A 24,160-nucleotide genomic window follows, 5' to 3' on the forward strand; every position below is an offset into this window, starting at 1 on the left:
GTCCGGGTCTGCCTGTGGAGTACCTGGCATCTCTGCCGAGGCCTGGGGTGCCCCTGACTGGCTCCTTGCCAGGGGAGGAGGCCTGGGGGGACCCCCGGGGGCTGCTGAGGTGAGGGGGGCCCAGGACCCGGCTGAGCAGAGTGAGTGGTCAGGGTCCAGCGCGGGCACAGAAGTGTGGGTGTTCACATCAGGGGCTGTGGGAGGGGCGTCCCCAGCAGAGGGAGGAGGGACGAAGGGGCCATCCCAGAACCCTGGGCTCACCACAGGGGGCATGGGGCTGGAGGGACCCTGTGAGGGGAACTGTGAGGGGCCAGCGGCTTTGCTGGGGACTGACCTGCAGTTGAGGAGGGAGGAGGGGCAAAGCATGGTGCCACCCAGGGCAGGACAGGGTCCAGGTGCCCAGCAGCCTCCATGGCACAGGATGGCCTGGGAGCCGCGTGGGAGCCTCGTGGGAGCTGGGATGTGGCGGCTGTGACCCGCATGGAGTCAGGGCCAGGCTCCTGCACCCCTGGGGAGTGGGCGCCCAGCGGGGCTACGGTGCTGGGGTGGGCTATCCCGGGAGGACAGCGTCAGTGGCTGTGGCTGGGAGTGAGGGAGGGGCTGGAAGGGCTCCCTCTCTGCACCTCTGCTGTCTGTGTGAGGTGTCGGCTCTACCAAAGCCCATAGCCTTCTCCTTGGTGAAGGCAGCTGTCACCAGGCGTGTGAGGCAGGGCTGCACCTGCTAGGCCCTCAAAGGTGAGGCTGGGACATCTCGCTGGGGCCTGGTGGCCAGGTCTTCTCCAAGTCCCTTGGGCCAGAGTCTGCTGGGGAGACCTGAACTATTTCTACTGTCCTGGGCCTCAGGGCAGGACGCAATGTGGGGACGCTTCCCTCTCTGCCCATGGGGTCCACCCGGGGAGCCCAGCCTGCGTTTCAGGCTCCCCCAAGTCCCAACGTGGGCCTGGTTCATGTCTCATCAAGAGAGCCTGTGGGCGATCTTACCTCCAGTCCACAGAGGGAAACACCTTGGACCCTGCGGGCGAGGCTGTGCCCCCGGGGACCCCTCTGGAGGGACCTGGATTGCCGGGGCCTGAAGTGGCCACAGCTGGGGCGGGGGGCCAGTTTCCCTGGGTGCTCTCTGCACCTGGGAGGGACATCCCAGGACATCCCCCAGTCTCACTGGGAAATCTGCCCACAGGGATGACAATACCCTGATTGTGAGGCATGCGGGTATCTCGCAGAGTCTTCCAGAGCTCATGGAGTAATTCTGGGGTGCTGATCAAGGTCTAGCTTGTGTGAGAGCCGGGGGCCACAAGGAGGGGCACGGCGCACCCCATAACAACAGCGGAAGTATGGCTGTTGGTGTTGGGACAGGGAGTTCTGTTTGCTGTCAGGGCCCAGAGACGTCCAAACCCTTTGGGAAGGGCTCACAGCTCCCAGGGTCGCCTCAGGCTCACGGAACCACAGGCCCAGTTTCCAGATGACCAACATAAGCTGCCCTTCCTTGGGCTTTTTCTGGGTTCGCTGCCATTGGCCACATAAAGGAAGGGCCAGTGGTTCATTTGAGGACACTGAGCAGGGTGAGCTTCTGAGCGTCTGCGCTCATGGATCCTGCAGCCCAGGCTATTTGGCACGCTGTGGCTGGAGCTTAAATTGTGGCTGACTGAGCCCCGTTCTCAGCTTAGTTAAAACTTCACGCAGCTGCCAGCTCAACAGGCTGCTTATGTGATTATTACAGTGAATTAGACAGGGCAAGGGGAGGACCACATGCTAGAGATGCTCAGCTTGGACCTTCCCAGGATGGATGTGGCTGGCCTGCTGCCAGCTTCCTGGGGGTGCATGGCTGGGCAGAGGCACCATGGGCAGTGGGCCAGGCTTCTCCAGCTCCCAGGACCTCCCCTCGGGGAGGACCGACCCTTAGGGTCCAAGTTTTGGGAGTGGGGGCAACCCCTGTCCCACACAGGGGACGGTGGACCTGCTGGGTAGCTGGGGGAGCTTGTACTGGGTAGAGGAGGCTGACTCAACATGCTCATGTTGTCATGAACCCCTCATGGGACTCCCCCAGAAAATCATATTCCTGTTTGGCCTGGTTACACACAAACAGACCTGGCCTAAGGGCGGTGTGTAAATACAATGTTTGGTTATTTGTTCATTCACCTGTCCATCCATCCATCCATCCATCCATCCATCCATCCATCCACCCATCCATCCATCTGTCCCTCTGTCTGCCCATCAGTTAATCCATCCATCTGCCTGTCCATCTGTCTGTTCATCCATCTGTCCATCCATCCACCCTTTCATCCACCCACCCACTTGTCCACCCATCCATCCATCCATCCATCCATCCATCCATTCATCTATCCATCCACCCACCCATCTATCCGCTGACCCACCCATCCACCCATCCATCCACCCACCCACGCACCCATCCATCCATCCACCCATCCACACATCCATCCACCCATCCATCCACCCACCCACCCATCCATCCATCCACCCACCCACCCACCCACCCATCCATCCATCCATCCATCCATCCATCCATCCACCCACCCATCCATCCACCCACCCACCCACTCATCCATCCACCCACCCACCTGTCCACCCATCCATCCATTCATCCATCCATCCACTCATCTATCCATCCACCCACCCATCCATCCACCCATCCATCCACCGACCCACCCATCCACCCATCCATCCATCCACCCACCCACCCACCCATCCATCCATCCACTCATCCATCCACCCTCCCACCCATCCACCCATCCATCCACCTACCCATCCATCTGTCCATCTGTCTATCCGTTTGTTCATCCATTCGTCCATCCTTCCATCTGTCCATCTGTCTGTCCATCTGTCTATCCATTTGTTCATCCATTCGTCCATCCTTCCATCTGTCCATCTGTCTGCCCATCTGCCTGTCCCTCCCATTCATTCATCTGTGTGTCCATTGCTGGCACGCTGGGGACAGAGAGCTTTATACATTGTCATCCTGCCCTGCAGAGGGGAAAGGCAGAATCAATCACTTCCAACCCACCCTTGTCAACCCCCCACAGGCCAGTGGAGGGGAGGACTACATGCTGAACACGCTCAGCTTGGACCTTCCCAGGATGGAGAGAAGGGTCAGAGAGCTTCCTGAGTGGGTGTCGGTGAGTGGATGTGGGCAGGCTCTCTGGACGAGAGTGGCCAGAGCCCGGGGTGGGCTTGTGGGTTGGAGGTGAATTTGTGGGAGGGAGAATTTTGCATGCAGCAGGAAGAGGTGAAGCAAGCCTGGACGTGAATGGGCGGCTTCTTCCCCACACTTCACCCCTTGTGCTGCCTGTGGAGTGAGCCACGGTGGCCAGTGATGGGCTTGCCCTAGGACCACTGTCCATGCCGAGTGGTGGCAGCCGCGCCCCGGGAGCACCCCCTCCTGCTGTGGTGGAAACGCAGCCAATGGACAGAGAGAGCCGGTCCCTGGAGCTCGGCTGAGTGTGACAGAGCTCCAGCCTGGGGGCAGCGAGGCTGCTGCACGGCCCACGGGACTCTGTCTTGAAGCGAGACCGTTACCATGACTGGCGCCGGGCGCCCACATACTGAGGTGTTTCTGTAGCACAGACACCCTGGGAAGAATGCCTGTCACACTCCCCAGCGGTCACGAGTTTCCCAAGAGAGTCAGATGTGGCCAGCTGCATGCGTCCCACCTTAAACACATGTGCACAAAAGACACTTCCTGGAGTGGGTGCGGGCGCCACCGTCTTGTGGCCACCGGAGACACTGATTCCTTTCCCAAGTCCCTGTGAAGTGTTTGTCTGAGGAGCTGGGTCTGTCAGCCTTTCTCTTCCACCTCTCAGCTCCCTTGGCCTTTGGGGTGAGTCTGCATAGACCTGCCCACCGCGGGACAGAGGCCTTCCCACAAGGACGAGGCAGCTGCTGTGGGACTGCCAACGTCTGTCTTTCTTGCCACACGGAAGGTCACCTGTCACCTGACAAGATTACCTGTCACTGATGGGCCACTTGTCACCTGAGGTCACCTGTCACCTGATGGGATCACCTGTTCCCTTTCAGCCCTCTTTGGCTTCAAGAGGTCGTGGGACCTCAGGTGTGCATCTGCCCTGGAGTGGTTTTGTTGTGGTTGGGGACATAGCTGTGTCCATCGCTTCTTGTCCCTCATCCCCCTGGGACCAGGCCTTGGGGAGCAGACAGCTGTGAACCCCCAGAGCTGTGAGTCAGTGCGAAGTGGGGAGAGAGCAGCCCACAAATCTCCAAAGGACAGACCACCATCCGCTCAGCTCCCAGCGCTCCCTGCGTCTCGGTAGTTCCTGCTACTGGCTGCTCCGTCCTCTCCAGGGCAGGCTGACTTCGTCGTCACCTGTCAGGCACAGCAGACGCCCACGGCAGGTGTGAGGTGAGGAAAGAAAACCGGACCCCACAGCCCTGAGTCCTCCCAGAGGCTGCTGGAGGGACGGGTGCTCTGCAGGGAAGCTCTGATGTCAGCGTTGTCCCAGTTTGCAGGGACAGGTCCTTGGGCCGAGGACCTCACTTTCAGTCAGCCACAGAGGCGTCCCGCAGCCCATCACCCACACGGAGAGTGCGAATGGCCTGGCCCGGCCTGCCTGTCTCATTCTCCTGTACACTCCAGCAACACGGACACCCACACCTTCCAGTCCCCCTGAGATCCCCAAGTCCTGTGCAGGGGAATGGTGGTCTCTGAAGACACGTCCACCTGCTGACCCCTGGAACCCGTGAGCATGCCTGCCCGAGAGGCCGTCTTTGCAGATGTAACAAGTTAAGGCCTGGAGAGGAGATCATCCTGGACTGAGAATGCCAGCAAACCCAACAACAGCCGTCCTTAGAGGAGAAGGGGGAGGGAGACTTGAGACCGGGACGGGGAGGGAGGCCACGTGGAGACGGAGGCAGAGATGGGAGGGGTGTGGCCACAAGCTGGGAGAAGCAGCAGCTTGTGTGCCGGAAGCTGGGAGAGGCAGGAAGGAGTGTCCATCCTGAGCCTCGTGAGGGAGCCGGCCCCGCCCACACCTTCCTCCACTTTGGCTCTGTCCTCCTGCCGGTGTGAGGAGCCCCCAGGCACGCGGGCGCCCCGCTTTAGAAATTCAGTTTAGAAGGTGCACCTGTGCATCAGTACCGAGGCATCCCAACTTATAAAACCCCAAATCAAGTATTTTATGAAAAAATTGCATATGTCTGTGTAGCTTTGTGGGAACGTTTATTTATTCATGTGAGACTCCAAATGCTTCACGCAGAAAAACAGCGACAGAAACACAGGATGCAGGGCAGAGATGGCATTTTACAGGGCAATATTTTCAGCGGCCACAGGAGGGCGCGTCTATAAAAGAAAACAGGACTGTGCGCGAGTGACCCACTCCACTCCCACCCGAGGCACGCACACACGCATGCACACACATGCACACTCACATGCACACACACACACACGCAGTCATCCACCCACATAGGCACACACATGCACAGACACGAAGTCACCCACCCACACATGTACCCTCACACATGCCTGCACACACACATACATGCACACTCACACATGCACACACATGCATGCACACATGCATGCTCATGCATGCACACCCACATGCAGTCATCCATCCACATGTGCGCACATGCACACAATCACATGCACTCACACGCACCCGCACCTGCAGTCACCCACCCACATGTGCACACACCCATGCACACATGCAGTCCCCCACCCACACATGCACACACACATGCCTGCACACACGCACACTCATGCATGCATGCACACACACACGGTCATCCACCCATATATACACACACATGCACATTCACATGCACACTCAGTCACCCACCCACATGTGCACACTGACATGCATACACACGCATGCACACACACATGCAGTCACCCACCCACACATACTCACACATGCCTGCACACGCATACACTCATGCATGCACACACGGTCATCCACCCACATATACACACACATGCACGTTCACATGCACACTCGCATGCACACATGCAGTCACCCACCCACACGTGCACACTCACACACGCATACATAGACATACACACACACGAAGTCACCCACCCACACATGCACCCCCACACCCCCATGGCCACCTAGTGGCGTTAGTCTTATTTTAATTATGTTCAGGTTAATCAAGGCTAAAATCGAGTTGAAGGGTGAGGGGCCTGAGTGCTTACACGGTCCCATCGGTGGAATAAAATAATTAGTTTAAGGCAGAGTGGGGAGTTTTTCTTGTTGAACAGTTAACATCCAGTCTCACAACCTTCTAAATGACATATCAAAAGCTTCGCAAGCACACAATTTTAAATGATAAAATCAGGCTCTACCAAAAGTTCAAGGTCACTTTTTTCCCCCTACACTCCCATGCCAAAAACATTTCTATAGTTTTTACTCAAATAACATTTGACAAATGGTAATTTGCGTTCTTCTGGGCTAATAGAGAGCAATAAAATCTATTGTTAATATTTTCAGCACCTTCTGGCTAAAATAATCCCATAACCCACTGAACCGTGCACCGCCCCCATAAGTGGTGGTACAAGGAAAGGTCAGGGCCACCAAACCTATCGCACAACCGCTGAAGTCAGCCACCCTGGCGGCCGGGGAGCGAATGGGAAGCACTTGACAACACCTGTCTTGGAGTTGCTTTTTGAAGCTTTGGTCAGAACATGCAGTCGTTTCCTTAATCCAGACTTTTGTGATCAGCAGTTTCTCCAAGGCGTGGTTGAACGGCCTCATAAGTAAAGTTGGCTTGGAGAGACCAGAAGACGTGGCTTTCACCCAGACCGATGACCGCTCTGCAGTGCCAAAGGGTGTGGCGTCCCGATTCCAGGGCCCTTTGCTTCCTATCCACTTGTTACCAAAATCAGGTAAAAAATTACCGAGGTAAAGAAGAAATAACATAAAGAGAGAAAACACAAAACTCAAAGCCAAAACTGTCCCAAGCCTTATAATACTTGTGAGCGAAGTCCTCAGCCCCTCCCGTGGTGCCCTCGATTCCCGTTAAAGGGCAGGAGCAGCAGCAGAAGCTGCTGTGAGCTCCAGGTCTCCACCTCATCCCCAACAACCATGCTCCCAAACCAGACAGCAGCAGCTGAAAACCGCAGAGCACCCTGCACTGTTGCCAGCCAATCCAGGAAGATAGATCATGCTGGTACAGACGGGTTTCAGTGCGGATGCAAATGAACTTATGCATGTGACTCTTCTTAGCTTTAAGCCTTTTACCTGAGGGTTTATTGTTGGAGTTATAGCAATGTATGGTGATGATAAAGGGTCTCCAGCATCATTCCGTGTAGTAAAAATGATGCTTCATCCGGGAGGGGAGGACTCCCCAGCATCTTACTCCCCGCCAGGCCTCCCACGCCCACCTGTTGGTATCTGAGGGTGAGGCGTGGAGGTGGCCAGACCATTACAGTTTGCCCGAGCGTCTAGATTTAGGAATTCTGTTGGACTTAGGAGCATCTAGATTGAGGTAAAAAGAGCACAGTCTACAAAGAAACTAATTGTTCCCGCTTTTACGTGCTCCTCAGTTTTAAAATCTTTTAATTTTAATTAAAAATAAGGGCCGGGCATGGTAGCTCACGCCTGTAATCCCAGCACTTTGGGAGGCCGAGGCGGGCGGATCACGAGGTCAGGAGATGAAGACCATCCTGGCGAACATGGTGAAACCCCGTCTCTACTAAAAATACAAAAAATTAGCCGGGCGAGGTGGCGGGCGCCTGTAGTCCCAGCTACTCGGGAGGCTGAGGCAGGAGAATGGCGTGAACCCGGGAGGCGGAGCTTGCAGTGAGTGGAGATCGCGCCACTGCACTCCAGCCTGGGCGACAAAGCGAGACTCCGTCTCAAAAAAAAAAAAAAAGATTAAAAATTAAAAAAAAATTAGCTGCCTTGACAAAGTCTTAGCTAAAGTACCAAGCATCATGGGAGAATATAAATATAAATATCCAGCCAGTCAAATATATTTCATAAGGAATGAGGCGATTGTAGGCTGGGCGCAGTGGCTCACGCCTGTAATTCCAGCACTTTGGGAGGCTGAGGCGGGTGGATCACCTGAGGTCAGGAGTTTGAGACCACCTGGCCAATATGGTGAAACCCTGTCTCTACTAAAAATACAAAAATTAGCCAGGCATGGTGGCACGTGCCTGTAATCCCAGCTACTCAGGAGGCTGAGGCAGGAAAATCGCTTGAACCTGGGAGGTGGAGGTTGCAGTGAGCGGAGATGGCACCATTGTGCTCCATCCTGGGCAGCAAAGCAAGACTCCATCTCAAAAAAAAAAAAAACAAACACACACAGACACACACCAAAAAAAAAAAGAACAAGGCAACCAACTCCATTTCAGATTAAGCGGCTGCCTTAGGTCCCTGGGATTTTGTTTTCATATGTAATCTCTACAGTTTACGTATTTTCGTATGTAACTTCTACGGTCGGACCAGATGGCAGGCCCCGTCCCAACGCCAGCCACTTGCCTGCTATGTGTTTCCTCTGTCGGCCCTACAGATCTGCCAGTGGCATTACAATCTCTTCAGCACAGGTTATATTTATCACAGCCGTTTAGACAGAGTTAGAATTAATTAGGGTATGTCGCAAATGTCAGATCGTTAAATGAAATGGTAAAAAGTAAATTGTGGTTTTTGGCAAGCAAGTATTTCATAAAATAAGATCCCTTGATGAAAAAGTAATTGCTCTAAAATATATACTTTTATTACCACTTTTAGGGACACAGATTAGCAATCTAAGTTTTAAATTTGATATGAATGGCAATGAATTCTATCTGCCACAATACAGCATGGAATTTGATGTCTAAAATATTCCTAAAGGGTGATTGAATAGTCAATTAAAATATAGCATTGCTAAGGGCCTGTGTGTGTGTGTGTCTGTGTGTATTTAATGCAAGTCAGTTGTTCTTTGAATTTTAAAAGTCCTTACACAGAATTTGGTATGATACATAATGGGAGAGACATTGAAAACTGAAGCTATAAAATACAGGAACCTTTGCAAGGAATGATAGAATTGGTGGGAGGTGGCCTGGGATGGTTAGCACTGAGTGGCCCCCCACGGCTCGCTTCCCTTGGTCTCTGGCCATCAGTGGTGACCGGTGATGAAACCGTTACCAACAGTTTCAGAAATTTCCAAACTCAATCCTGTCTCCTTCCTACAGTTGATTCTAACGGCACAGAAATGATTTCTGTTTCCACGAGTTCATGCTGCTCACGTTAAGCGGCTGTGACAGAGCCTGGTGGGGCACTTGCAATTCTTCCTTGTTTTTCAGTTGTTTATGGTTGAAAACACATCTTTTTCAGCATGGAAGGAATTTCTACAGAAGGCAAAAGGAATGTGTGTCCAGAAAAGGATCTAATTTTGAAGAGTCGAGCAAGTAACACTCACATGTTTGATGGCACAAGAGAGTTAACTTAAATAGCTTTAACCTGACTGGGTGAAGTGGCTCATGCCTGTAATTCCAACCTTTGGGAGACCGAGGTGGGTGGATCACTTGAGTTCAGGAGTTCAAGTCTAGCTTGGGCAACATGGCAAAATCTTGTCGCTACAAAAAATACAAAAATTAGCCGGGGGTGGTGGTGCATGCCTGTAATCCCAGCTGCTTGGGAGGCTGAGGTGAAAAAATTGCCTGAGCCCGGGAGGTGGAGGCTGCAGTGAGCTGAGATCATGCCACTGCACTCCAGTCTGGGCAACACAGTGAGAGTCTGCTGCCTCCTCCCCCAGAAAATCTTTAATCTAATCAACAATGAGGCTGGGTTTTCTAAGACGTTGCCTAAAACATGAAGTTCCAAAAATGTTCTGGACGACGATGGGGTGGTGGCTTCTGCCTGAGGGGCTGCACTAGCACAGAAGAGGGGACGGTGTCCGGAGTGTGCACGTGAACCAAGCCAGTGCCTCATGGTCACGGCCCCACAGCTCACTGTGCACACCCACACACAGACATGCATATGCTGTGTGCACATGCATGCATGTCCAGGACCACAGGCTCTTCCTGGGACAGGATCAGGAAGCAACTCTGGCCCCAGGCAGCCCCTAGCACGTTACCCCCACCCAGTTGTCCAGCCTGACTGAGTCTTATTTAACTTTACAGTTTCCTGAGAAAGCCTCTGTCTAGGAAGGTGGCCATGGAGCCCTTTCTCTCATTGTGTCCCGAGTCCTCCTTTGCCCACCACACAGTCTGGCCCCACCTTCCCCTCCCCTCCTCTCCTCTCTTCTCCCCTCCCCATCCTTCCCCTCCTCTCCCCTCTCTTTCCTCCCCTCCTCTCCTCTCTTCTCCCCTCCCCATCCTTCCCCTCCTCTCCCCTCTCCTTTCCTCCCCTCCCCTCCTCATCTTTCCCCTCCCCTCCTCATCTTTCCCCTCCCCTCCTCATCTTTCCCCTCCCCTCCTGAGCCATGCTGGCTTCACAGCTGAGTCACAGCTGTGGGGGGCGGTGGGGGGTGATTCCAGGGAATGGCTGGAGGGAAAGGAGCACGTGTTTTGGACTAGAGGTGATGTGAGAGCCATGTGTCCAGCCCTTGCTGGAGGCCAGTCTGAGCTGGCTCTCGGCCCTGGGCAGGGCATGGCCTTTCCCGGATGGGGTTGTTGTAGGAATCCCACCGGTCTAGTGTTTGGGGTTGAATTTTGTCTCCAAAAAGAAGGGTTGAGTCCAACCCAGGCCCCACAAGGGCCGCCCTGTTTGGGAGGAGGGTCTTTGCAGATGGATTTGGGCTCAGATGAAGTCATCCTGGAGTTGGGGGCCCCAATCACTGCTTCAGGTCCTTGGATGGAGGCCATGTGACAGAGGCAGAGAGTGGAGTGAGGCGTCTGCAGGTGAGGCATGCAGGGAGGGTCGTGAGGTGAGGAGAGGTCCCCAAGAGCCTTCCACACCTTGGAGGGGCATGGCCTCACGGACGCCTTGACCTCAGATGCCGGCTTCCAGAACCATGAGATGCACCCTCTGTTGTTTTAAGCCCCTGGTTTGTTAGAATGGTCCCAGGCCACGCACACTCGTTGAGCGGCTATAGCCAAGCTCCTGCCCTGTCATTGTTGGGGGCCCAGCAGCACGTGGAGCCTGCAGACTTTGGAGCTGGGTTCAGGGCTCATCTCTAAGCCCCAGGTTCAGCAGTGGCTCCTCAGCAGGGGCGAGTGCCCCCGACACAGCACAGACTCCTTGGCCTTAAATATGCAGCTTCATCTCCGTCTCCAGCTGAAATGGTTTGTCACCTTTGCTACTGGGAGATGCTCACGCTGCTGGGACACCATCCCTGTCCCTCCTCAGCCTGTGTCCTAAAGAAAGTGCCCGGTAGCAACCAAAAGCATCGGCACTGAGGACAGTGTTAGGGGCTCCAAGTAGCTAGAGGGACAAGGCCTGCCTTCGGCTTCTCCAGGGAGCACCTCCTTCACTGTCACCTCTAGGGAGCACCGTATTCACCACCACCTCCAGGAAGCACCTCCATCACTATCACCTCCAGAGAGCACCTCCTTCACCATCACCTCCATCACCTCCAGGAGCACCTCCATCACCTCCAGGGAGCACCTCCTTCACCGTCGCCTCCAGGAGCACTTCCATCACCTCCAGGGAGCACCTCCACACCTCCATCACCATCACATCCAGGAGCACCTCCTTCACCATCACCTCCAGGGAGCGCCTCCATCACTGTCACCTCCAGGGAGCACCTCCTTCATCGTCACTTCCAGGAGCATCTCCATGACCTTGAGGGAGCACCTCCTTCACTGTCACCTCCAGGAGCACTTCCATCTCCTCCAGGGAGCACCTCCATCACCTTCACCTCCAGGGAGCACCTCCTTCACCATCACCTCCAGGGAGCACCTCCTTCACTGTCACTTCCAGGAGCACCTCCCTCACCATCACCTCCAGGGAGCACCTCCTTCACCGTCACTTCTAGGAGCACCTCCTTCACCATCACCTCCAGGGAGCATCTCCTTCACCATCACTTCCAGCAGCACCTCCATCACCTCCAGGGAGCACCTCCTTCACTATCACCTCCAGGGGCACCTCCATCACCTCCAGGGAGCACCTCAATCACCATCACCTCCAGAAGCACCCCCGTCACCATCACCTCCAGGGAGCACCTCCTTCACTGTCACCTCCAGGAGCACCTCCTTCACCATCACCTCCAGGAGTACCTCCTTAGCTGTCACCTCCAGGGAGCAGCTCCATCACCGTCACCTCTAGGGAGCACCTCCATCACCTCCAGGGAGCATCTCTTTCATCATCACCTCCAGGAGCACTTCCTTAACCGTCACCTCCAGAGAGCACCTCCATTACCTCCAGGGAACACCTCTTTCATCATCACCTCCAGGAGCACCTTCATCACCATCACTTTCAGGGAGCACCTCTGTTGTTGGAGGGCAGCATCTCTGTCACTGTCCCCTCCCTCCTGGGCTCCAGGTCATGACTGGTCAGCCTCAGTGGGGCTCTAAGGTCTGAGGCCTCTCTGGCATCAACCTCTTAATAAATCTCTCTCTGTGGCCAAAAACGTTCCACGTCATTTCTTCCTCAATGTCACTTTCCTCGCTGAATAACCGATTAATGCGACATGAGAATAATTTACAATAAGATGACTGTATTTGCTGTGAAGCCCAGGTCAGATGTGAGGGGTGTGACCGTCGGATCAGACAGTCCTAGAGCCCGCAGCGTCAGCTGCGCGCCCGCCTGTCCTCCACTGCGGGCTCTGGAGGTAATGGAAGGGTCTGCCGCCAGTGCTGGCGACCGTCTTCCCCAGCCAGAGCCTGCCTGGGCCGCACAGCCGTGGCTTGACTGTCAGCAGCTCCTGAACATGGCACAGTCTGTGCTGGTGGGATTCTTGGTTCTGCTCTGTTTATGACCAACACGAGGTCACACCGAATGCCAGAAAGTTAAAGGAAGGATCCATTTTCTGAAAAAAGGCAGCAGTGTTTCTGTGTGGTGGTGACCCTGGGGCATCACCCCACCCTGATCTCTTGACCCGCGGTGATCTCTTCTGGCTGCAGCATCTCCCTCCCACCGGCTGCAAGACGCAGAAAGACCGCAGGGTCTGAGGGGGGCTCCTGGGTTTCAGTTCCACCTTCCACTTTGCACAACATGATGATGGGGGCAGGGTGACTTAACCTGCTGAACTTCAGACGTCCCATTTACAGGACAGAGATAAAAAAACCCCAAGCACACAGTTCCCCATGCACCTGGCTGGGTTTCAGGTGCCCGGGACAGGTGGGTGGCCCTGCCTACTGGAGCTCCCACTCTGGGCACGCACAGAGCCCAGAAACGGGGTCACCACAAATTGGAACTCAGAGCAGAAAGGCCTTGTCGGGCGGGAGGCAGGCCTGCTGCGAGGCTGTGCACACAGTTCCACTTCCAAAGGCTGAGGAAGCCAGGGTGATATTCAGCAGCCTCGCTAAATGCCCCACGCTCGTTGCATAGATGAAGACATCTGGGCTTTAGAGAGAAGAGCCTGCCAGGCTCACGGGGGTTAGAGGCGGTGGACTCCAGACCCTCCACTGTGGACCGCAGAGTAATGGCCCTGATGACGATCACGTCTCAGCCCCAGAACCTGAGAGCAAGTCGTGTTTCACGGAAGAGGGAATGGAGGCCGCTCCTCAGCCGACCCTGAGAGAGGGACCTGTGGCAGGCTGTTCTGGGCGGCGCCTGACGTAGCGCCTGGGGTGGGCTCTTCCGGGCGGCGCCTGACGTAGCGCCTGTGGTGGGCTGTTCCACGCGGGCGCTTGACGTAGCGTCTGTGGTGGGCTGTTCCACGCGGGCGCCTGACGTAGCGTCTGTGGTGGGCTCTTCCGGGCGGCGCCTGGCGTAGCGTCTGTGGTGGGCTCTTCCGGGCGGCGCCTGACGTAGCGTCTGTGGTGGGCTCTTCCGGGCGGCGCCTGGCGTAGCGTCTGTGGTGGGCTCTTCCGGGCGGCGCCTGACGTAGCGTCTGTGGTGGGCTCTTCCGGTCGGCGCCTGGCGTAGCGTCTGTGGTGGGCTCTTCCGGGCGGCGCCTGGCGTAGCGTCTGTGGTGGGCTGTTCCGGGCGGCGCCTGGCGTAGCGTCTGTGGTGGGCTGTTCCGGGCGGCGCCTGACGTAGCGTCTGTGGTGGGCTGTTCCACGCGGGCGCCTGACGTAGCGTCTGTGGTGGGCTGTTCCACGCGGGCGCCTGACGTAGCGTCTGTGGTGGGCTGTTCCACGCGGGCGCCTGACGTAGCGTCTGTGGTGGGCTGTTCGGGGCGGGCGCCTGATGTAGCGTCTGTGGTGGGCTCTTCCGGGCGGCGCCTGGCGTAGCGTCTGGGGTGGGCTGTTCCACGCGGGCGCCTGACGTAGCGTCTGTGGTGGGCTCTTCTGGGCGGCGCCTGGCATAGCGTCTGGGGTGGGCTCTTCCGGGCGGCGCCTGGCGTAGCGTCTGGGGTGGGCTGTTCCACGCGGGCGTCTGACGTAGCATCTGTGGTGGGCTATTCCACGCGGGCGCCTGGCTTACAGTCTGTGGTGGGCTGTTCGGGGCGGCGCCTGGCGTAGCGTCTGTGGTGGGCTCTTCCGGGCGGCGCCTGGCATAGCGTCTGTGGTGGGCTCTTCCGGTCGGCGCCTGACGTAGCGTCTGTGGTGGGCTCTTCCGGGCGGCGCCTGGCGTAGCGTCTGTGGTGGGCTCTTCCGGTCGGCGCCTGACGTAGCGTCTGTGGTGGGCTCTTTCGGGCGGCGCCTGGCGTAGCGTCTGTGGTGGGCTCTTCTGGTCGGCGCCTGACGTAGCGTCTGTCGTGGGCTGTTCGGGGCGGGTGCCTGATGTAGCGTCTGTGGTGGACTTTCCGGGTGGTGACTGATGTAGTCGCAGGGTCCTCAAAGCCGACGGAAGGAGGCACAGGGAGGGGGAGTCCCAGACGCCGGTGAGAGATTCGGCCACCGCTGCTGGCTCGGGAGGCAGGAGGAGCCCCAAGCTGGGGAAAGGGCAGCTTTGAGAAGTTGAAAAGGGCTGGAAACAGATTCTCCCCGAAGCTTCTGGAAGGACCCAGCCCCGAGACACTGTGACTTCAGCCTGGGGAGCCCTGGGCCAGACCTCCGACCCCTAGAGCTGTAGAGCAGGGTGGTCCCCAACATTTTTGGCATCAACGACCAGTTTGGTGGAAAATTTTTCCACGGATGGAGTTGGCAGAGGGATGGTTCCGGGATGAAACGGCTCCACCTCAGATCATCAGGCATTGGATTTTCATAAGGAGGTGGAACCTGGGTCCCTTGCATTCGCAATTCACAATGGGGTTCTCTCCCCTGTGAGACTCCAGTGCTGCAGCTGATCTGCCGGGAGGCGGGGCTCAGGCTCTAATGCTTGCGGCACCGCCACTCACCTCCTGCTGTACGCTGGCTCCCAACACGCCACGGACCTGCACTGGTCTTTGGCCGGGGTTGGGGACCCCTGCTGTTGGGGACAGACTCCTGCTGTCTTCAGCCCCCGAGCTTGTGGGCGTTCATTTCAGCAGGCTCAGGAAGCTCACACACGCTCAGGTGTGTCCAGTCCCAAGACCCCAGTCTCAACCACCGCCCCCCCACCCCGACCCGGGGCTAGACTGTGTAACACGCCATCCGCACATGGGCTGTGGGGCTCAGCATGTCTGCGGGAAGGTGCCAGCTGCACGCCGGACCCCCCTCCGCTGTCTTCAAGGGCCCAAGGCCTTCTTGCTGGACCTGTGACCCGGCAGGGCTGACTCGCTGTCTCTGTCTGGTGGACGCTTGATTCCCAGGATCACAGGCACATGTGTTCCCGAGGAACCGCAGCCTCACTCCAACTAGGACTCTCCCTCCGTGTGCCTCCTTCTTTCGGGTTGAGGACCCCGTGGCGACATCACTTCCCACCCTGGACAGCCCAGAGTGCTGCCTCCCTGCAGCCTCTGCCCTCCTCGGAGCCCCTGCAGCCCCATCGCTGCCCGGACCCTGGCCCTCCGTGGCTCGCAGAGCCGCTGCCCGTGCGTTTGTCCCTCACCTCGGTGGCCTCTGCACATCATAACTCTCCTGACGGAACCCACTGTAGAGTGACCTGGGCTGCCCAGACCCCCGTACCCTCCCATGTGCTGTCAGGGTGCGCAGGACACAGCTTGCTGAAAAGTGGGAGGCAAGTAAGAACAGCTGAGTGCAGACAGTGTTGACTTCTCTGTGGTCATTTAAATAGGCTGCTGCAGATAGTTTAAGACAGGGTTAAGTGGGTGAGATCCTTCTTCAGTTTTAACTTACACTGTTCAATTAAAAGTCATGAAATAATGTGGTCACTAGGATGCCGACCAAGACAGACAGCACAGGGCAAGGGCAGGCCAGGGGAGCGTCTGCGAGGGTCTAAGGGGAAAGGTGTTGGAGGGAAGTCGGGGGGCTGAGCCCGGAAAGAAGCCCTTAGTCACACAGCCTGACACCATCTTCAGGGTGGGGGTGCCCAGGCCAGGTGTCTGGGGGCTGCAGCGAGGCCCTCGTGACCGTACCCGTGGTCTCTGCAGTAGAGGAGAGTCCCCCTAAAGGGCTCCCCGCTGGCCATCTGCAGAGCCAAGACAGGTGGGGGTCGCACTCCCCCAGGGCACAGCAGCGAGGCAGAGCCAGCGGCAGTGTTTGCCCCAGGACCACGGCCCAAACTCAGACAACCACCACCTTGGCAGACTGGGGACCCTGGTCTGGCCCACGTCTGCTTGCTTTTTACCTCTTTCCCAAAGTGTAATATACACACCCAAAGCCCAGATGTTGGCGAGTGCTGCTCAGGGGTGGCCCCACCTGTGGACTTGGCTACCGGGTGGCCGCAGGGTGGTGGTAGGGTCTCTGTCCTTCAGGTCACCACACGTGCTGAGGCCAAGGGGATGGGAGCTATGACAGGCTGACCTGCGCCCCCAGCTCTTATGTTGAAGCCCCGTCCCCAGGAGGCTGTGTCTGGAGGGCAGGCCTTTACATCGGTCATTAAAATACAAGGAGGCGGTACGATGGTCCTGACCCGCTCTGACTGGGTCCTTACAAAAGGAGACATAAAGACACAGATGTGTGCAGAGGATGGCCCAGGGAGGACCGTGGTAGAGACGGCCTCTGCAGGCCTAGGAGAGAGACCTTAGGAGGAACCAGCCCTGCACACACCTTGATCTTGATCTTCTAGCCTCCACCGTGAGAAAGAAATATCCGCTGTTGGAGACCCCGCCTGTGGGGTTTTGCTGCGGTGGCCAAGCTAACCGTGCAAGAGGTGCGAAGGGGACGGAGTCTGGGGCACCTCCCAAGGCGGGGAAACTGCAGGGGAAGCTCAGGCAGCGGCAGCTGGGGAGGACTGAGTACAGACTTTTTTCCCCTGTTTGGCTTTTTCTTGCTGTTTAAGCCCTGAGACCCTAAGGGTGGAGGGGAGGAGAGATTTGAGTATTTTTAATTATTTAAAATTTTCTTTTTAAATGCTGATGCTGTTCAATAATTAACTTTCTCTAGATCCTGCTGTTTCTTAAATGGGAAATTAAAGGCAAATGGAAGTGTTGAAAAGACAGCAAAATCAATGACAAAATCCCTTTTATGAAAAGCCGAAACTAGGCGTCAGCAGAACGAAGCCTCTCCCACCAGGGTCAACCCTCTGGAGGCTGGGGCTGCAGGGGGTGGGGGCTGTGGGGTCCCAGCTGACTTTGGGCAGGGCCCTTGCAGGCTGGCCTCCCCCGACTCCACTTGGATCCTCTGCCTTCACACCGGGAGCCCAGCCCTGTGGGGCTCTGACTGGGGCGGGTGGCTCCCGAGGGAGAAGCTGAGCGGCTGCAGGCAAAGGCTTCGGGGAAGGGACCTGGGGGCAGTGGGCACCTGCCTGGGCTTCCTCATTCTAAATGCTCTGTCTCCACCATTTCACCTGCTAGCATTGGAAAAGTCCGTGGTGGGCACCTGGTCCTGAGGCCTCTGCTGGATGCAGAAGCTGTGGAAGGAGCGGAACAGGAGCCCCCGAAACCCACTGCCTCCCCCAAGTCCTCAGCCACCCAATACTCCCTGACGGGCTCTGTATTGGCTGTGGGGGTCCCCCTGGGTCGTGGTCCAGAGGGCCTAACCCTTCTACCCCTCGCCCTGTTCCCCTCTGTCATCACCCGAGTGTGTCCCCAGATTCCACCTGCTGAGGCCTGAGTCCCCAGTGTGATGGTACTGGGGGGTGTCAAGCTTCAGATGAGGCTGGGACCTCATGAGGGGATCAGTGCCCTGTGACCTGTAAGAGGAAGAGATGCCAGAGCTCCCTCCCCCAGCCTGTGGGTCACAGCGAGAAGGCAGTTGTCTGGAGCTGGGAATCTGGCCCCCACCAGGAACTGAATCTGCGGTCCCCTCCATCTTGGACTTCCAGCCTCCAGCAGAGTGTGCCCTTCGAGCCACCCAGGCGGCCTGAGCTGACCGGACGCCCTTGGTTTTGGTGTGTGGGGCACAGGTCTGAAGGCAAATGTGAAGCCGGCGAAGCCTCTGTGCCGATGTTACCAGGAGTTTTCACCCTCTCGGAAAGTGTCACAGACAGGGACCTTCCCCAAGGGTATGACAACACCCCTCCTTGCCCTCAACTCTACAGCGTCAGGTGTTTGAAATACATATATACTGTGTGTTTTTTCTAGGAAGATTTGAAACTTCTGGCTTAACCTGACATTTTGCTGTGGTGGTGATCCAACCTTTAATTGTTAAAATCATTTGCTCCTTAAATGGTTAATCCTTAATCATTAGAGCCCCATCATCAGGGAGTCTCTGTCCGCATGGCCTGGAGTATTTCAGGGCACACATGGCCGGGGCTCGAGACAGGCTGGTGAAGGGAAGAACAGGTGAGTGGTGGGCTGGCGGTTGTGGGGGGTCTGCAAGGGACTGGCCCTGTCCCACGTGAACACGTCCAGGCCCCAGTTAGCATCACCTTGGCAAGCCCCATAGGCTTTTCTCTTTTTATAATCAACCTTATTGAGCTGTAATTCACATAGAATACAATTCACCTATTTAAAAACATACAGTTCAATGATTCACAGACAGACACGTGTAGTTATCAGCACTGTTGATTTTAGAGCATTTTCATCAGCTTGAAAAGACACCTTGCATCCTTTAGTGGCCATGCCCCTAACCCCGCACCCAACTCCAGCCCTCAACAACCCCTCATTGGCTTTCTGTCCCCATGAGTTGTGGGTTCTGGGGACTTTCTGGAGAATGGGATCATACAGCATGGGTGCCTGCATGCCGGGGGCCCTCCTCATCCTGGCTTTAAGGTTCACCTACGTCATAGCATGTGCCTGTGCTTTATTCCTTTTATTTTTATTTTTAAAAATTGTAGTAAAGGGCCTGGTTTGGTGGTTCATGCCTGTAATCCCAGTGCTTTGGGAGGCCAAGCTGGGAAGATTGCTTGAAACCAGAAGTTTGAGACAGGCTTGGGCAACAAAGTGAGACCCCATCTCTACTAAAAAAAAAAAAAAAAAAAAAGTCAGGTATGGTTGTGCACCTGTAGTCCCAGCTGCTTAGAGGGTGGAGGCAAGAGGATTGCTTGGGCCCAGGAGGTTGGGGTTGCAGTGAGCCGTGATTGCACCACTGCACTCCAGCCTGGGTGACAGACTGAGACCTTGTCTCAAAAAAAAAATAAATGTAGTAAATATACATAGCATTAAATCTACCATTTAAACCATTTAAAAATATACAGTTCAGTGGCATTAAGTGAGTTTGCAACCATCACCACCATCCATCTCCAGAACTTTCTCATCTTTTCAAAAGGAAACTCTGTCCCTATTAGGCACGAACTCCCCATTCACCTCCCACCAGCCCCTGGCACCCACCATTCTACTTCTGTCTCTGTGAACTTGACTGCTGTAAACATTAGTATCTCATCTGACTGGCATCATAGAGTATTTGTCTTTTTGTGAGTGGCTTATTTCGCTTAACATAATGTCCTTAGAGTCCCTCCATATTGTAGCATGTGTCTAAATTTCTTTCCTTTTTGTGAATGAATAATATTCCATTGTATGAATGGGCCACATTTTGCTTACATCTGTCAGTGGACACTTGAGTGGCTTCTGCCTTTTGGATATTGTGAGCAGTGCTGCTGTGAACATGGGCGTGTAAATATCTGAGTCCCTGCTTTTCATTTCTATTTGCATATATCCAGAAGTGGAATTGCTAGATCATGTGGTAGCTCTATGTGAATTACCTCTAATGTTTTGAGGAACCACCATATTGTTTTCTACAGTGGTTGTATCATTTTACATTCCCATCATCAGTGCATTAGGGCTCTGATTGCTCTACATCCTTGCAAACACTTGTCATTTTCTGCTGTTTTCTTTTCTTTTTTTTTTTTTTTTGAGACAGGGTTTCACTCTGTTGCCCAAGCTGGAGTGCAGTGGTGCGATCTCAGCGCACCGCAACCTCCGCCTCCCATGCTCAAGTGATTCTCCTGCCTCAGCCTCCTGAGTAGCTGGGACTATAGGTGCCCACCACCATGCCCAGCTAATTTTTGTATTTTTAGTAGAGATGGGGTTTCACCATGTTGGCCAGGCTGGTCTCAAACTCCTGACCTCAAGTGATCCACCTGCCTTGGCCTCCCAAAGTGCTGGGATTACAGGGATGAGCCACCTGTGCCTGGCTTCATTTTCTGCTGTTTTGATATTAGCCATCCTGATGGCTTTGAAGTGGTATCTCACGGTAGTTTTCATTTGCATTTTCCTAGTGATAAGTGATGTTTACCATCTTTTTATTATTATTATTAAAGTTCTAGGGTACATGTGCACAACGTGCAGGTTTGTTACATATGTATACATGTACCATGTTGGTGTGCTGCACCCATTAACTCGTCATTTAGCATTTGGTATATCACCTAATGCTATCCCTCCCCCCTCCCCCCTCCCCCCACCCCACAGCAGTGCCCGGTGTGTGATGTTCCCCCCTTCCTGTGTCCATGTGTTCTCATTGTTCAGTTCCCACCTATGAGTGAAAACGTGGTGTTTGGTTTTTTGTCCATGCGATAGTTTGCTGAGAATGATGGTTTCCAGCTTCATCCATGTCCCTACAAAGGACATGAACTCATCATTTTTTATGGCTGCATAGTATTCCATGGTGTATATGTGCCCCATTTTCTTAATCCAGTCTATCATTGTTGGACATTTGGGTTGGCTCCAAGTCTTTGCTATTGTGAATAGTGCCACAGTAAACATATGTGTGCATGTGTCTTTATAGCAGCATGATTTATAATCCTTTGGGTATATACCCAGTAATGGGATGGCTGGGTCAAATGGTATTTCTAGTTCTAGATCCCTGAGAAATCGCCACACCGACTTCCACAATGGTTGAACTAGTTTACAGTCCCACCAACAGTGTTAAGTGTTCCTATTTTTCCACATCCTCTCCAGCACCTGTTGTTTCCTGACTTTTTAATGATCGCCATTCTAACTGGTGTGAGATGGTATCTCATTGTGGTTTTGATTTGCAATTCTCTGATGGCCAGTGATGATGAGCATTTTTTCATGTGTTTTTTGGCTGCATAAATGTCTTCTTTTGAGAAGTGTCTGTTCATGTCCTTCGCCCACTTTTTGATGGGGTTGTTTGTTTTTTTCTTGTAAATTTGTTTGAGTTCTTTGTAGATTCTGGATATTAGCCCTTTGTCAGATGAGTAGGTTGCAAAAATTTTCTCCCATTCTGTAGGTTGCCTGTTCACTCTGATGGTGGCTTCTTTTGCTGTGCAGAAGCTCTTTAGTTTAATTAGATCCCATTGGTCAATTTTGGCTTTTGTTGCCATTGCTTTTGGTGTTTTAGACATGAAGTCCTTGCCCATGCCTATGTCCTGAATGGTATTGCCTAGGTTTTCTTCTAGGGTTTTTATGGTTTTAGGTCTAACACGTAAGTCTTTAATCCATCCTGAATTAATTTTTTGTATAAGGTGTAAGGAAGGGATCCAGTTTCAGCTTTCTACATATGGCTAGTCAGTTTTCCCAGCACCATTTATTAAATAGGCAATCCTTTCCCCATTTCTTGTTTTTGTCAGGTTTATCAAAGATCAGATAGTTGTAGATATGAGGCATTATTTCTGAGGGCTCTGTTCTGTTCCATTGGTCTATATCTCTGTTTTGGTACCAGTACCATGCTGTTTTGGTTACTGTAGCCTTGTAGTATAGTTTGAAGTCAGGTAGTGTGATGCCTCCAGCTTTGTTCTTTTGGCTTAGGATTGACTTGGCAATGTGGGCTCTTTTTTGATTCCATATGAACTTTAAAGTAGTTTTTTTCCAATTCTGTGAAGAAAGTCATTGGTAGCTTGATGGGGATGGCATTGAATCTATAAATTACCTTGGGCAGTAAGGCCATTTTCATGATATTGATTCTTCCTACCCATGAGCATGGAATGTTCTTCCATTTGTTTGTATCCTCTTTTATTTCATTGAGCAGTGGTTTGTAGTTCTCCTTGAAGAGGTCCTTCACATCCCTTGTAAGTTGGATTCCTAGCTATTTTATTCTCTTTGAAGCAATTGTGACTGGGAGTTCACTCATGATTTGGCTCTCTGTTTGTTATTGGTGTATAAGAATGCTTGTGATTTTTGCACATTGATTTTGTATCCTGAGACTTTGCTGAAGTTGCCTATCAGCTTAAGGAGATTTTGGGCTGAGACGATGGGGTTTTCTAGATATACAATCACATCATCTGCAAACAGGGACAATTTGACTTCCTCTTTTCCTAACTGAATGCCCTTTATTTCCTTCTCCTGCCTGATTGCCCTGGCCCGAACTTCTGACACTGTGTTGAGTAGGAGTGGTGAGAGAGGGCATCCTGTCTTGTGCCAGTTTTCAAAGGGAATGCTTCCAGTTTTTGTCCATTCGGTATGATATTGGCTGTAGGTTTGTCATAGATAGCTCTTATTATTTTGAGATACGTCCCATCAATACCTAACTTATTGAGAGTTTTTAGCATGAAGGGTTGTTGAATTTTGTCAAAGGCCTTTTCTGCATCTATTGAGATAATCATGTGGTTTTTGTCTTTGGTTCTGTTTATGTGCTGGATTACGTTTATTGATTACGTTTATTGCATCCCAGGGATGAAGCCCACTTGATCATGGTGGATAAGCTTTTTGATGTGTTGCTGGATTCGATTTGCCAGTATTTTATTGAGGATTTTTGCATCAATATTCATCAGGGATATTGGTCTAAAATTCTCTTTTTTTGTTGTGTCTCTGCCAGGCTTTGGTATCAGGATGATGCTGGCCTCATAAAATGCGTTAGGGAGGATTCCCTCTTTTTCTATTGATTGGAATAGTTTCAGAAGGAATGGTACCAGCTCCTCCTTGTACCTCTGGTAGAATTCGGCTGTGCATCCATCTGGTCCTGGACTTTTTTTGGTTGGTAAGCTATTAATTATTGCCTCAATTTCAGAGCCTGTTATTGGTCTATTCAGAGATTCAACTTCTTCCTTGTTTAGTCTTGGGAGAGTGTATGTGTTGAGGAATTTATCCATTTCTTCTAGATTTTCTAGTTTATTTGCGTAGAGGTGTTTATAGTATTCTCTAATGGTAGTTTGTATTTCTGTGAGATCGGTGGTGATATCCCCTTTGTCATTTTTTATTGCGTCTATTTGATTCTTCTCTCTTTTCTTCTTTGTTAGTCTTGCTAGCGGTCTAACAATTTTGTTGATCTTTTCAAAAAACCAGCTCCTGGATTCATTAATTTTTTGAAGGGTCTTTTTGTGTCTCTATTTCCTTCAGTTCTGCTCTGATCTTCGTTATTTCTTGCCTTCTGCTAGCTTTTGAATGTGTTTGCTCTTGCTTCTCTAGTTCTTTTAATTGTGATGTTAGGGTGTCAATTTTAGATCTTTCCTGCTTTCTCTTGTGGGCATTTAGTGCTATAAATTTCCCTCTACACACTGCTTTGAATGTGTCCCAGAGATTCTGGTATGTTGTGTCTTTGGTCTCATTGGTTTCAAAGAACATCTTTATTTCTGCCTTCATTTCGTTATGTACCCAGTAGTCATTCAGGAGCAGGTTATTCAGTTTCCATGTAGTTGAGCGGTTTTGAGTGAGTTTCTTAATCCTGAGTTCTAGTTTGACTGCACCATGGTCTGAGAGACAGTTTGTTATAATTTCTGTTCTTTTACATTTGCTGAGAAGTGCTTTACTTCCAACTATGTGGTCAATTTTGGAATAGGTGTGGTGTGGTGCTGAAAAGAATGTATATTCTGTTGATTTGGGGTGGAGAGTTCTGTAGATGTCTATTAGGTCTGCTTGGTGCAGAGCTGAGTTCAATTCCTGGATATCCTTGTTAAGTTTCTGT

The 24,160-nt window shown here is 53.2% G+C and overlaps 4 annotated features.

Annotated features, from left to right (window-relative positions):
- Positions 1 to 166: a silencer, noted in NCBI's record as "fragment chr7:157220516-157220681 (GRCh37/hg19 assembly coordinates)". NCBI's record gives its function as "represses an EF-1alpha promoter that drives an FKBP-Casp9 reporter gene in an ReSE screen in HepG2 liver carcinoma cells {active_cell/tissue: HepG2}" and the evidence as "EXISTENCE:reporter gene assay evidence [ECO:0000049][PMID:32094911]".
- Positions 1,560 to 1,760: a silencer, noted in NCBI's record as "peak6870 fragment used in MPRA reporter construct". NCBI's record gives its function as "represses an SCP1 promoter by STARR-seq MPRAs in K562 erythroleukemia cells {active_cell/tissue: K562}" and the evidence as "EXISTENCE:reporter gene assay evidence [ECO:0000049][PMID:32103011]".
- Positions 4,556 to 5,065: an enhancer, noted in NCBI's record as "H3K4me1 hESC enhancer chr7:157225071-157225580 (GRCh37/hg19 assembly coordinates)". NCBI's record gives its function as "activates a minimal SCP1, AML or CMV promoter by ChIP-STARR-seq in naive H9 embryonic stem cells {active_cell/tissue: H9 hESC(naive)}" and the evidence as "EXISTENCE:reporter gene assay evidence [ECO:0000049][PMID:30033119]".
- Positions 13,550 to 14,081: an enhancer, noted in NCBI's record as "H3K27ac hESC enhancer chr7:157234065-157234596 (GRCh37/hg19 assembly coordinates)". NCBI's record gives its function as "activates a minimal SCP1, AML or CMV promoter by ChIP-STARR-seq in primed H9 embryonic stem cells {active_cell/tissue: H9 hESC(primed)}" and the evidence as "EXISTENCE:reporter gene assay evidence [ECO:0000049][PMID:30033119]".

The sequence above is a fragment of the Homo sapiens genome, chromosome 7, assembly GCF_000001405.40.
Source record: "Homo sapiens chromosome 7, GRCh38.p14 Primary Assembly".
NCBI lineage: Eukaryota > Metazoa > Chordata > Mammalia > Primates > Hominidae > Homo > Homo sapiens.